The sequence below is a fragment of the Homo sapiens genome, chromosome 6, assembly GCF_000001405.40.
Source record: "Homo sapiens chromosome 6, GRCh38.p14 Primary Assembly".
Classification (NCBI taxonomy): Eukaryota; Metazoa; Chordata; class Mammalia; order Primates; family Hominidae; genus Homo; species Homo sapiens.
The window spans coordinates 54,844,357-54,856,735 of NC_000006.12; the positions used below are offsets into that span (position 1 = coordinate 54,844,357).

The following is a 12,379-nucleotide window of genomic DNA, read 5'->3' on the forward strand; positions in this document are numbered from 1 at the left end:
GCAAATCATATTGATTTTCTATTTCATTGGCTCTCAAATCGGTTTCCTCCTTTTCATTTTCACTATTCCTTCCCTTGTCATACTATTCACATGACAGCTAGGCATAACTACTCTTCCTGACTCCCTAGAATTTATACCAAAGTCACCAACTGTTAGATTAGTCAACATATCACCAGCAAGAGACACAAGTCCATATTTTTCAGCTTGCAATCAGAGTTCTTCCCAATCTGATTCCCAGTATAATTAATAGTAATGCACTTACGGGCTTACCACAGATCAAGAGCTGGGATGTTTTCCACATACCATATCTAATTTATAATTCTCACAACAATCTTAGATTATAAATAATTTTGATCTCATTCTGTGAGAAAATTACTCCAAACTTTATGTCTAAATGTATCTTCCACCACTCACAACCATGTGATGCCCATGGCCAAATCAGGTAATTGATTTGCGTGGTTCTGGAACTTGCTTTTAGCCTTTACTCTGCTCTTTCAGCATCTAATCACATGTCAATTTCATTCTCCTGACAAGTTTGCTCATCAGTCGGGACCCAACTCAAATTCTAATAGTTCTGTGAAATTCTGTCCACATTCCTCACCCACCTTCTAGGCTCCTTAAGGGGTGAGATCAATTTTATCTATTTTTCCATCCCATTAAGGATGGAAAGGTCTTACATAGCATAATACCTTTAATAGATTCTCCCTCTCCACGTCTATTTTCTGATCTTTTGTTTGCTTTTAATAATGAACACTCGAGTAGATATATCCTTCTTTCTTTGTGATTTCACTTGACTTAGCATGAGTGCATATCTTAATAAAATTAGACTTCCTATGGGCCTCATTTAACTCCAAATATTCTTGATATTTTTAACAATAGGATAAGTGCATCTCAAAACGTTCATAAGTATTGCACCTTTAAGAGACATTCAGAATTATTCTCAAAGGCTGTAGAAACACGCCAGTATATTAAGTACCACATAGAGAATATTAATTTAGTCAATGGATTGCATGCCAAAAATGAGGAAGAGAACTGAAAAAATATTAAAAAGTGAGATGTGAAAATTAGGAACAGAAGGAAAAAATAAATACATAAAACAAGACAATTCTCTACATTCTTTTGAAGAAATGAAACTACAAACCAGACACCAAGATCTGGAAGATTAGCTTTGTACTAATCCTGGAATTTGCTTTTACTTTCCTGTCTTTGGCCTTTGCTCTGATGTTTCAGTATCTAGACTAATGCGAATTTCATTCTTCAGTTTAAATCAGCACGTCAGTCAGGGATTCATCCAAACCTTAATGGCTTAGCATTTTCCTCAACTGTTTTATTTGGAGCAAAATCGCCACGAAAGTCATTTTTAAGGGTCAATTCAATTTTATGATAATTTATATATTATGCCAGACGCTTAAAATATGCCTATTACTACCCTAAATTCCATTCTTACAGTACTAGGCTGCATTTTAGACATTTGCTGCAAATGACTTTATCTTGAAGTCTACGTGATTACACAAATTATTATAAATACTCATGACAGATTTACTGAGGTGTAGGCAAGGAAATTAAAAAATAAATTTTATTAATTACTGTATTTTATGTTTAAATTATAGTGTCTCCACTTCCGTAACATTGCTCCGCAGTATCCCACCTAGAGGGACCTGCTTTCACGCACATCTCCCTATTTTAAACAATATCCTTTCATCCCAAATCTGTAACTAGGACAGTTGAGAGTCAGTACCAAAATCTTTGATGATATTTGAAATTCTTTTACATAAAAAAGTAAAGGCACAAGCACTTTTTCTTCTACTTTTCCACTCCCCACGTCCTCTCCAAGCCTAAAGACTCTTAGGCACTGAGAAGGAGTCTGCACTGCGGGATGCCCACTGGAATTACCTACTGTGGGCTGAATCCGCCCCACACTCTCGAAGGTGCTACAACCCTTGCTCTCACCCGCGGCCCCCAGGCCTCTCCTCCAGGCATTCTTGAGCCCAGGGAAAAGCGAGGACGGGACCACGGCCCCGCTCGGCCTAGATCCGCCTTCTTCCCAGGTGAGCGTCGCTGTCCTCCGGGATCGCTCCTCGCCCCAGACCAGGAGCAGGGTGTCGGGACTTGTAATTGCCCCGTAGCCCCGAGGGCGGGCAGGAAAGAAAGGCTTTTTCATACTCCGCTGGGAGAGAGCAGGGTGTTTGAGTTCAGACAGGTTCCGAGCGCTTTCTGGCTGTTCGGGGTTTGGCGTGCCACCACTTGGGACTTGTTGTAACCCGTCTCCACTCCCGCCCCCTCCAGCGCTGCACCTTGTCTCGGGGAGGCGCGGTTCGAGCCGGAATCAGCCTCCCTCCGCGGACCTGACGCTGGGCAGGTAACTCCCCTCCCCTCCCTGCCCGCGCCCAGGCGCTTGCTGCTTCCTGGGAGGCAAACCTTCGGCGGCCGGCGCTGTGCGGCGGGCGCGGTTGCGCGCGGCTTGGGGCAAGTAAGTGGGGTTTGGGCTCCCTTGCCCCGGACCTCGGCGGACGGGACCCCAGCGGGTGCAGGGTTGAGGTGCTTGGGGTACTGGGGGGGCCCGGGGCTTCACCCGCCCCTGGCCGGCGCGGCGGACGGGAGGGATAGGGGACTCTCCCTTGGGAGCGCAGGCGGGATTGGAAATTCCACAGGGTGTAAAGCTCAGTTGCTTCAGTCTTTTCTACGTTTCTTTCATTGTCGTGGGGGTTCGAGTGAGTTGAGAAGTTTGAAAAGTTGTCTCGGGCGGAGTCGGTTTGGGTCCCCAGAGGACTGGCGCCGCCCCTCGTGGAGGCTGCATTTGTTTCCTCTTTTCCAGTGTAGGAGTGCGCCGAGGACCCCGGGAGGGGAAGCGGGAGGAGAGACCGCTGGGAAAAGTCTCGTGGGAGGAAGTCCAGGGTGGAAGCAGAGGGCATGGGGGTGGGGGGTTCCGGGAAAAGGTGGGAGAGCTTAGGTCGCTGAGGGGCGTGGGTGTTCTTTAGATCCTGAGTGGGGAGCAGAACTTGAAAAGACAGTTTTTTCACACAACCTCTTAATTGTACAGGATCCCGTTTCTGAGTGCAGACTGGTAGCGACCTGTGTTTTTCATACTTGGGTCGGCCTGAGTCTGGGTCTGTGTGCCCTAGCAGCTCTCCAGGAGAGCCTGTACCTACCAAAGTTTGAGAACCACTGCTCTAGATCCTGGTGAGTGATCTAGAAGAGGAGAGTAGGCCTAGAGCAGATTGCTCCTGGAACGGGACTTGGAGACTTTTGGCCTATTCTGTGTGATATGTGGGGAGACTTACCTGTGTAAGGTTAATGGACAGGCAGAGAATGCCTGTGTTCATTGCAGGAGTCATAGGTATGTAAAGAGACAACAGCGCTTTCTTTATAGGAGGAGGCTGGGAGGTTATGGAAACACAGGTTAGCATGTTGTCTATGCTCGGAGCGGTGAAGTTATAGGGTCTCTCTGACCTAGAAGTGGAAATGAGAGCTCAGGCGGCCAGAACACTTAAGAAGAAGGTGTGCGGGTGGCAAGCAATTGAGGCTAGAATTTAATGCTCAACAGCTTATGTCCAAATTCCCAGTTACAAACATCTTGCTAGGTTACTGGCAGGCACCTCCCTTCTTTCCCTTTCTCATCCTAACAAGTGCAAGAGCCCCGAGGAAATCCATGACTGAGGCTGAATCATTGCTGACAAGCAACAGGAAGGGAGAGAGTGATGAAAGAGACTTAGAAGAGAAAACTGGGGTTTTTTGTTTTTTATTGGAGTGGGGGTGGGGGTGGCGGTGGGAGGCTCAAAATGATTGGAGAATGAGAATAATGTGAAACAGAATGATGGAAGGTTGGGAGTGCAGGTCTTTGTTGCGTTTGTTTCTCTCTGTCTTCCTATAGTTCCCAGAAAAGTAGAAGTCCCCACACCTTCCAATTGCAAATTCCACCCCCTTGCCTTTGGGGCTCAGGCACACGTGGGGTATACACCTATTTAGGGTGCTGGCTACACCCTCTAGAGCCTGCCTAAGGGGCTGGGTGGATCCTGCCTTTAAAGCTGGCAGGCTTTAGACCGCAGATGCTGAGAATTTATTGTGGGAAGCATTACCAGTTGAACAGTTGCTGAAAGAGATTGTATAGATGGAGACAAACCACACCTCTGGTGCTGACTCAGTGATGTCTTTTACGTTTATGCCCTTGAGTTTATGACGCTAACTGGCTAAACTTTTTTGGGATGAAGTAATTAATTTTATTAATCTTTCTATTTTATTTCCTCTACCGTCCACCGTTCTTTATAGGTTAAGGTGGAGGTTCATTCACTGAGTATTTTCTTGACCATGACTCACCTTGCAGCAACTAACCTACTTGTTTCCCATTTAATTACATTATACAATACTGAGTTGCCAAAATGTAATGTTATTATACTTTTAAGTGTCCAGAATCTTGGGGTGAAACTGTTATCCCATCAAAGCGGGACTCTTCTAATACATAAATCTGGTTGGAGGAGACCTTTTGAAAAGAGGCCACTTAGCTTAATTTAATGAATTATTGGTAAAATTTCAAGTTGTCCTTGTTTATCTAGTTAGGTAAGTTTGCACGTCTGTCCCTTTATAAGTTGCAAAATGTGAATGTCCCATGGATGTTTCACAATTCACCTTTTTAAACACAATGTTTTGTTCATTTTGAAATGTGCTTTTGTTCCTTTAATTTCTGATCTGGAGATGGAATGTATTTTAGAATTTTGTTGTTGAATTTATCATCTGAACATCAGAATACATCCGCTCCCCCATGGAAACAGAGTTCTAAATGATGGTTATTCACAGCCCAGCTTTAAGGATGCCGTAGATAAAAAGTTGTACAAATAGCACTTAAACTCCATCAAGAATCAAAGCCAACAACATTTCTCTGAGAAAATGTGTTAGAGCCTTCAGTGGGAGCTTCCTTCCCACTGAGGTGTGCCAATGGGCATGGGCACTGTCTAGAAGTATCCTGGCCCCTAAGGGTAGAGCAGGCTTCCCAAGGGGATTGGGAGGCTGAGTGCTGTGGGCTCCTGAGACAAGAGCTGGGGGAAATGGTAGGCTCCAGTGGAAAGGATATACGTGGAGGTGAGGTGGAGTGGGGGGCAAGTGGGCTGTATGCTGGGGAGGAGGGTGCACTAAGGAGGCAGGGGGCTAACATGTACAGAAGGTAGGGGTGGGTGATGGAGGGGGCAAAGGATGTTTTCAGGGGCTGTGATGCTGTAAGGAAGGTGAGCCTTGGTGGAGAGATGATCCAAATATGAGAGATATTCATTGGGCATGCTGTCTATGTTGGGAAGTCCTGGAATCACATGATCATGAACGGTAGGAAACTTTTCCTCTGGGGACATCTAATTACTACCCAGTTTGTCTTTTGTTTTATTTTTACATTGTCCTTAAGAGTGGGGTGAGAAGTCCCCTAAGGGCACATGACATTTATCTTTTCAGCTGTGTCTTAAATAATTTGTAGATTACTGGTCCATGGGAAACTTAAATTAGTCATGGTCAGCCTCTCTTGCATACTGACATAGAGTCAGGTGTAGTCTCCCGGTTACTGGCAGGGGCCTATGTTGAAGAGTTTATAGAGAAGTTATGCAGTGATGATGATTATCTAATGGCTCTAACTTTGTGCTCTTTTACACTATCCCTTTGATTAAACATATTTATTGACCATTATCTGCCAAGCAATATGTTCCTCTCCAGGGGTAGGAAAGTAAAAATATATTCCTGGATCTTAGGAAGCTTCCAGTTTAGGAACCTAATGATAATTATAAGTACACAAATAAATAAATGGATCAAGTCCACTGATTTTTGTAGTTCCTTCCTATTCTCTGAAGGTCACAGCAGACGTTGTTTGTGTTCATTAATCATTTGTGAAATTGAACATTAGCAGCCCTGGGATAGTCATGTTTTTTGACAAAGTATTAACATTCTTTAGGCTTGCAGGTTTTTCACTGGTATTGTGAAAGGTTTAGACTATGTGGTCACTCCTGTGTCCCACCCACACTGCTCTGAAATTCTCTGTGATCACTTCTTATTGAGAGTATCATAAAATAATGTTAACTAAGGTTTCCCCACAGTATCACTGTGAAGCTTATTATTTCCACTTCTTTGGCCAAATTTTCATTTCAAAAGGTTTTCGTTCTTTAACATCAGATTCCTTCTTTGATTACATAAACATTACTACTTGGAGAAGAAAAGGCAGTTTTCAAAGCACTAAAGAGTGTCATCTTCCATCTCAATGGTGGTAATAGAATAACTCAACATAAGATGTTTGGGCTGTCATTTATATATACACACTGGCAATGATGGCTTTAATTCTTAACAGCATGTTACTCCAAATACCTAGTCTCATAAGACTCATTCAACAGATGTTTTAAAAGTACTATATTTTAACGGCTGGAAATAGTGGCTCACACGTGTAATCCCAGCACTTTGGGAGGCTGAGGCGGGTGGATCACAAGGTCAGGAGTTTAAGACCAGCCTGGCCAAGGTGGTGAAACGCCGTCTCTACTAAAAATACAAAAATTGGCCAGGCGTGGTGGCGGGTGCCTGTAATCCCAGCTACTTGGGAGGCTGAGGCAGAGAATTTTTTGAACCTGGGAGGCAGAGCTTGCAGTGAGCCCAGGTCGCGCCACTGCACTCCAGCCTGGGTGACAGAGTGAGACTCATCTCAAAAAAAAAAAAAAAAAAAAAAGTGCTGTATTTTTCTCAAATGTAACTTCTGACTTATTTGTTTAAAGATGAGTGCAATATAGCTAAGTTGTTTTTAGAGTAAGTAACTGTTTACAGTGTTCCCCTGTGATTCTTTTTTTTAGTTTCAACCCTTCCTTTCCATTTTCATCTTTATTGGCCTTTTCATCTTTTTTTGTCACATCTCATCCTTTGTATCCTCCTTTTGTCCCTTCTCTTCCTTCTTTTTTCTTTTATGCTTCTCTTCTCTTCCCTCCCATTATGTTTTTCTCTTCACTTACCTTCTCTTTTTATCTATCCCTTCTGAGTCCTTCTGATTTACTTTTTTTCCCGTTCATCTTTCTTCTTTCTCATCTCCCATTTCATACTTCTATTTATTTGTCCATTTCACCATCTGTTGAACTACCTATTTATTTACATTTTGTTTTGTTTTGTTTTGGTTTGGTTTGTTTTTTTGTGACACAGTCTCACTCTGTTGCCCAGGCTGGAGTGCCATGGCGTGATCTTGGCCCACCACAACCTCTGCCTCCCGGGTTCAAGTGATTCTCCTGCCTCAGCCTCCCGAGTAGCTGGGACTACAGGCAGGCGCTACCATGCCCGGCTAATTTTTGTGTTTTTTTTTTTTTTTTTTGAGACGGAGTCTCGCTCTGTCGCCCAGGCTGGAGTGCAGTGGCGAGATCTGGGCTCACTGCAAGCTCCGCCTCCCGGGTTCATGCCATTCTCCTGCCTCAGCCTCCCAAGTAGCTGGGACTACAGGCGCCCGCCACTACGCCCGGCTAATTTTTTGTATTTTTAGTAGAGACGGGGTTTCACCGTTTTAGCCGGGATGGTCTCGATCTCTTGACCTCGTGATCCTCCCGCCTCGGCCTCCCAAAGTGCTGGGATTACAGGCGTGAGCCACCGCGCCCGGCCTAATTTTTGTGTTTTTAGTAGGGACGGAGTTTCACTATGTTGGCCTGGCTGGTCTCAAACTCCTGACCTTGTGATCCACCCACCTCGGCCTCCCAAAGTGCTGGGATTACAGGTGTGAGCCACTGCGCCTGGCCTATTTACAGTTCTTTATTTCTGTCTGTCATCTTTATCAGCACAGTTCTCTACTTTGGTATTCTAAAAATCTGTACAAGTAAAATTAGAAGCATATCTCGTTTTATTGTGCTTTGCTTTATGGTACTTTGCAGCAATTGTGTTTTTACTAATTGATGGTTTCTGGCAACACTGCCTTAAGCAAGTCTGTCAGTGCCATTTTTCCAACAGCACATGCTCACTTTGTGTCTCTGTGTCACATTTTGATAATTCTCACAATATTTCAAACTTCATTATTATAATATCTTTTTTTGGTGATCATTGATCTCTGATGTTACTCTTGTAATTTTTTGGGGGTGCTACAAATCATGTGCACATATGACAGTGAACTTAATCTATAAATGTTGTGTGTGTTCTGACTGCTCCACCAACTGGCCATTCCCCTGTGCCTTTCCCACTCCTTGGGCACAGTATTGAAATTAGGCCACTTAATAACTCTACCAGGGCCTTTAAATGTTCAAGGGAATGGAAGAGTTGCATGCCCTCATTTTAAATCAAAAGCTAGAAATGATTAAGCTCAGTGAGGAAGTCATGTTGAAAGCTGAGATAGGCTAAAAGCTAAATCTCTTGTACTAGACAATTATCCAAATTGTGAAAGCAAAGGAAAAGTTGTTGAAGGAAATTAAAAGTGCTACTCCAGTAAACACACACATCATGAGAGAGTAAAATGGCATTGCTGATAGGGAGAAAATCTTATTGGTCTAGAATTCAAGGCTGTTCAATCTGTGGCCTGCAGGCCATATATAGCCCAGGACAGTTTTGAATGCTGCCCAATACAAATTTGTGAACTTTCCTAAAAGATTATTCGATTTTTGTTGCAATTTTTTTTTCTTTTTTTAAGCTCATTGGCTATTGTTGTTAGTGTATTTTATGCGTAGCCCAAGACAATCCTTTTTGGCCCAGGGAAGCCAAAAGATTAGACACCCCTGGATAGATCAAGCCAGCCACAACATTCTCTGCCAAAGCCTAATCCAGAGCAAGACCTTAACTCTCTTCAATTCTGTGAAGGCTGAGAGAGATGAGAAAGCTGGAGGAGAAAGGTATGAAACTAGCAGAGGTTGGTTCCTGAGGTTTAAGAAAAGAAGCTGTCTCCAAAATGTAAATGTGCAAAGTGAAGCAGCAAGTGCTCATGAAGAAGCTGAAGCAAGTTATCCAGAAAATCTAGCTAAGATAATTGATGAACAAAGTGACACTAAACAACACATTTTTAATGTAGGTGACACAGCCTTCTAGTGGAAGAAGATGCCATCTAGTATTTCAGAGCTAGAGAGGGGAAGTCAATGCCTGGTTTCAAAGCTTCAAAGGATAGGCTGACTGACTTTTTAGGGGTTAATACAGCTGGTGACTTTTAAGTTGAAGCCACTGCTCATTTACCATCCCAGAATGCCTAAGGTCTTCAAAAATTATTCTAAATCTAGTCTGCCTGTGCTCTGTAAATGGAACAACAAAGCTCAGATGAGAGCACATCTGTTTACAGCAAGGTCTACTGACTTTTTAAGCCTACTGTTGAGACCTACTTCTCAGAAAAAAAAGATTCCTTTCAAAATGTTATTGCTTATAGACTGTGCACCTGGTCACCTAAGAGATCTGATGGAGATTAATGTTGTTTTCATGCCTTCTGACACAACATTTGTTCCATAGCACATGGATCAAGAAGTGACTTTGACTTTTAAGTTTTATTATTTAAAAAGGCATTTCATAAAGCTATAGCTGCCACAGGTAAGTGATTCCTCTAATGAATCTGAGCAAAATAAATAGAAAATCTGGAAAGAAATCACCATTCTACATGCCATTAAGAACATTTGTGATCCATGGGAGGCGGTCAAAATATCAACATTAACAGCAGTTTGAAAGAAGTTGATTCTAACTCTTGTAGATGTCTTAGAAAGGTTCAAGACTTTTGTGGAGGATGTAATTGCAGATATGGTGGAAATAGCAAGGGACCTATTAATAGAATTAGAAGAGGAGCCTGAAGATGTGGCTTAGTTTTTTCAGTGTCATGATAACACTTTAATGGATGTGGTGTTGTTTCTCATAGATGAACAAAGAAAGTGGATTCTTGAGATGAAATCTACTCTCTTGGTGAAGGTGCTATGAACATTGTTAAAGTGACAACAAAGAATTTAGAATATTATAAAAACTTAGTTGGTAAAACAGCAGCAGGATTTAAGAAGATTGACTCTAATTTTGAAAGAAGTTTTACCATATGTAAACTGCTGTTAAACAACATTGCATGCTACAGAGAAATCGTTTGTGAAAGGAAGAGTCAATCTTTCTGGCAAAATTCGTTATTGTCTTATTTTAAGAAATTGCTATAGCCACCCCACCCTTCAGCAACCACCACCCTGATCAGTCAGCAGCCATCAACATCAAGACAAGCCCCTCCAATGGCAAAAAGATTACAACTTGCTGAAGGCTCAGATGATAGTTAGCATTTCTTTAGGGATAACTTATCTTTTGACTAAGGTTGTTCATTGATGTTTCAGACATAATGCTATTGCACACTTAATAAGCCACAGTATAATGTAAACATAACTTATATATGCACTGGGAAACCAAAAAAAATTTGTGTAACTCATTTTATTGCAATACTCACTTTATTGTGGTGTCTGGAACCCAACCTGTATTATCTTCAGCGTATGCCTAGGTGTGAAAGTCAAATTTTATATTCTAATACAAGTCAAATTTTATTTTCTAGTAGCTAAAATATAAATACAATTGACGATTGATTACTCTGTAAACATTGTAAACACAATATTCAACAATATGTTTCTAGTATTTTATACTTTTAAAAAATTGTTCCTTTTCTTCACAATGGAACACGTGTGCAATGGTCATCTGATCAAGACCAAAGGGCCGCTTCTCTTGGCATGTACAGTGAAGTTCATCTTTGCTTTAATTGTATCCAAATTATAAACATCCTGTCACTAACTTCAGAATTTTCATTTTTCCAGTTTTCAAAATTGATTATAAGTTCAAATTGCAATAAAATATTCAAATAAGTGTGCAAATACGCAGTAAAAAGAAATACAGTGATATTATTGAAACTGCATATTGACATGCTGGCAGCCCCATGTACAGTAAAATGAAATACTTAGTAATTGATGGATTAAAGACTAGAATTATTAAAGTTGTTTTGAGTGTCAATCTCTCATGCAGAAAAGTTCAGGATTTTCAAATGTCAAAAGAGCTAAGTAGGAGATCACTTATACATATAATTGAAAATTACAGCATATGGCTACAATTTCTATGTCTGTTAATGTCAGACAAAAACATCAGTCCATATACGTTGAAAAAAATATAGAAAGTGGTTTATTGCAGAAGCACTTATTTGTGTGATACTAGGCCAATTCATGTCCGTTGATATCTCAATATATTATCTGAGAAATCTGTCACCTTTGGTTCATACTCAAAGCCATACTCATAGCTCTGTTATTAACATAAGGTCTTCAAACTATTTGAAATTCTATATTTTGTTTATGGAGTGGCTTTACTCCCATTTAGCATGTTAAATCTTGTATGTGGAAGAATTAGAATAAGACATTTACAGGAAAAGAAGAGTGTTAAATCTCTCCAAGGTCATTAGATCCAAAATGTGATTCCACAGAAATTTGGGGTGGATCCAAAATACGATTCACCAAAAAGTGGGGGCAGGAGCCCTTGAAATCCTAAGTATGTGTGTGGATGTATCACACACAGAGTAAATAATTTGATAAAACCATTAATTACTTGAGTTAAAGAAATGAATCATCTTTGATTTTAATGTAACAATGTAGAAATTCCATTGTCTCCCAAATAATTCAGTTTATTTTGTATACATATGATAAATATTTTTGATTTGTACAGAGGATGGTTAAAACTGAAAGAGAAGAAAGGTATAGATAACATAATCAATGATGATTCCATGGAAAGGGTGCCAAGGTCTTTTCACTTAAGATATGTAGTGTTGTAGCAATTGCTAAATAATGGCCACAACTCTTTGGGGAAAGCTTAATTGAGAGACTAAGTGAGGAGCCCTGTCTTTGAAATCAGTTAGAACTTTGAGCTGCGAAGGAGTGGAAAAAGCAAGATTTACTCATGGACTCACATATACACACCCATATGTAAATTGTGCAGAGCGATAAGTCAACCAGTGATAGCTGCAATACCATGTGGCCAAGTCGTCTCCCTCTCCCCCACTGTTATGCTGACATAGGCCTTAAGGACAAATGAAAGTGAAATAAGCTGCCAGGTGCATTTTCTGGTTCAGGTGTGGTTTAAGCAACTGTGACTAGCAGAGTTCTATAAACATCAGCTTTGTCTCAGAATTGCAGTCTTGCAAGTTAGCCCTGCTGTCAGAAGAATTGAGCACAATTGTAGAGAGAGAAAGCTGAGAAACCAAGTGACTGTTCATATGTAACCCACAAGTCCTAGAAATCTGTCTATATAAATCCAGCAGCATTTTACACATTTAAAATATATATTTCTTTATTTATCTCTTATTTATTAACTTCCCTGTGTGCAAGTGCTCTATAAACAAGTAAAGAAGCCAACAAAAAAGGTTATTTTGAAAAGAACAAAAAGTCGAACTAGAGTGGGCTAGTTTTCTGATCAGATTTGTTGGCAGTTTCTGGGGTAA

At 41.2% G+C, this 12,379-nt stretch overlaps 1 protein-coding gene across 4 annotated transcripts in view; it reads left to right on the forward strand.

The window, feature by feature from the left end:
• Positions 1-1,846: 1,846 nt before the first annotated feature.
• Positions 1,847-12,379, forward strand: part of FAM83B (family with sequence similarity 83 member B) — a 98,897-nt gene continuing 88,364 nt past the window's right edge. Inside the window, exon 1 of one of the 4 annotated variants that reach the window (XM_017010478.2) lies at positions 1,847-2,048. The gene's annotated coding sequence lies outside the window, so the exon portion shown is untranslated. Of the gene's footprint in view, positions 2,360-2,414; positions 2,471-5,212; positions 5,311-12,379 lie in introns of those variants that run through there. The other 3 variants (XM_006715022.4, NM_001010872.3, XM_011514394.3) reach the window with 3 other exon arrangements.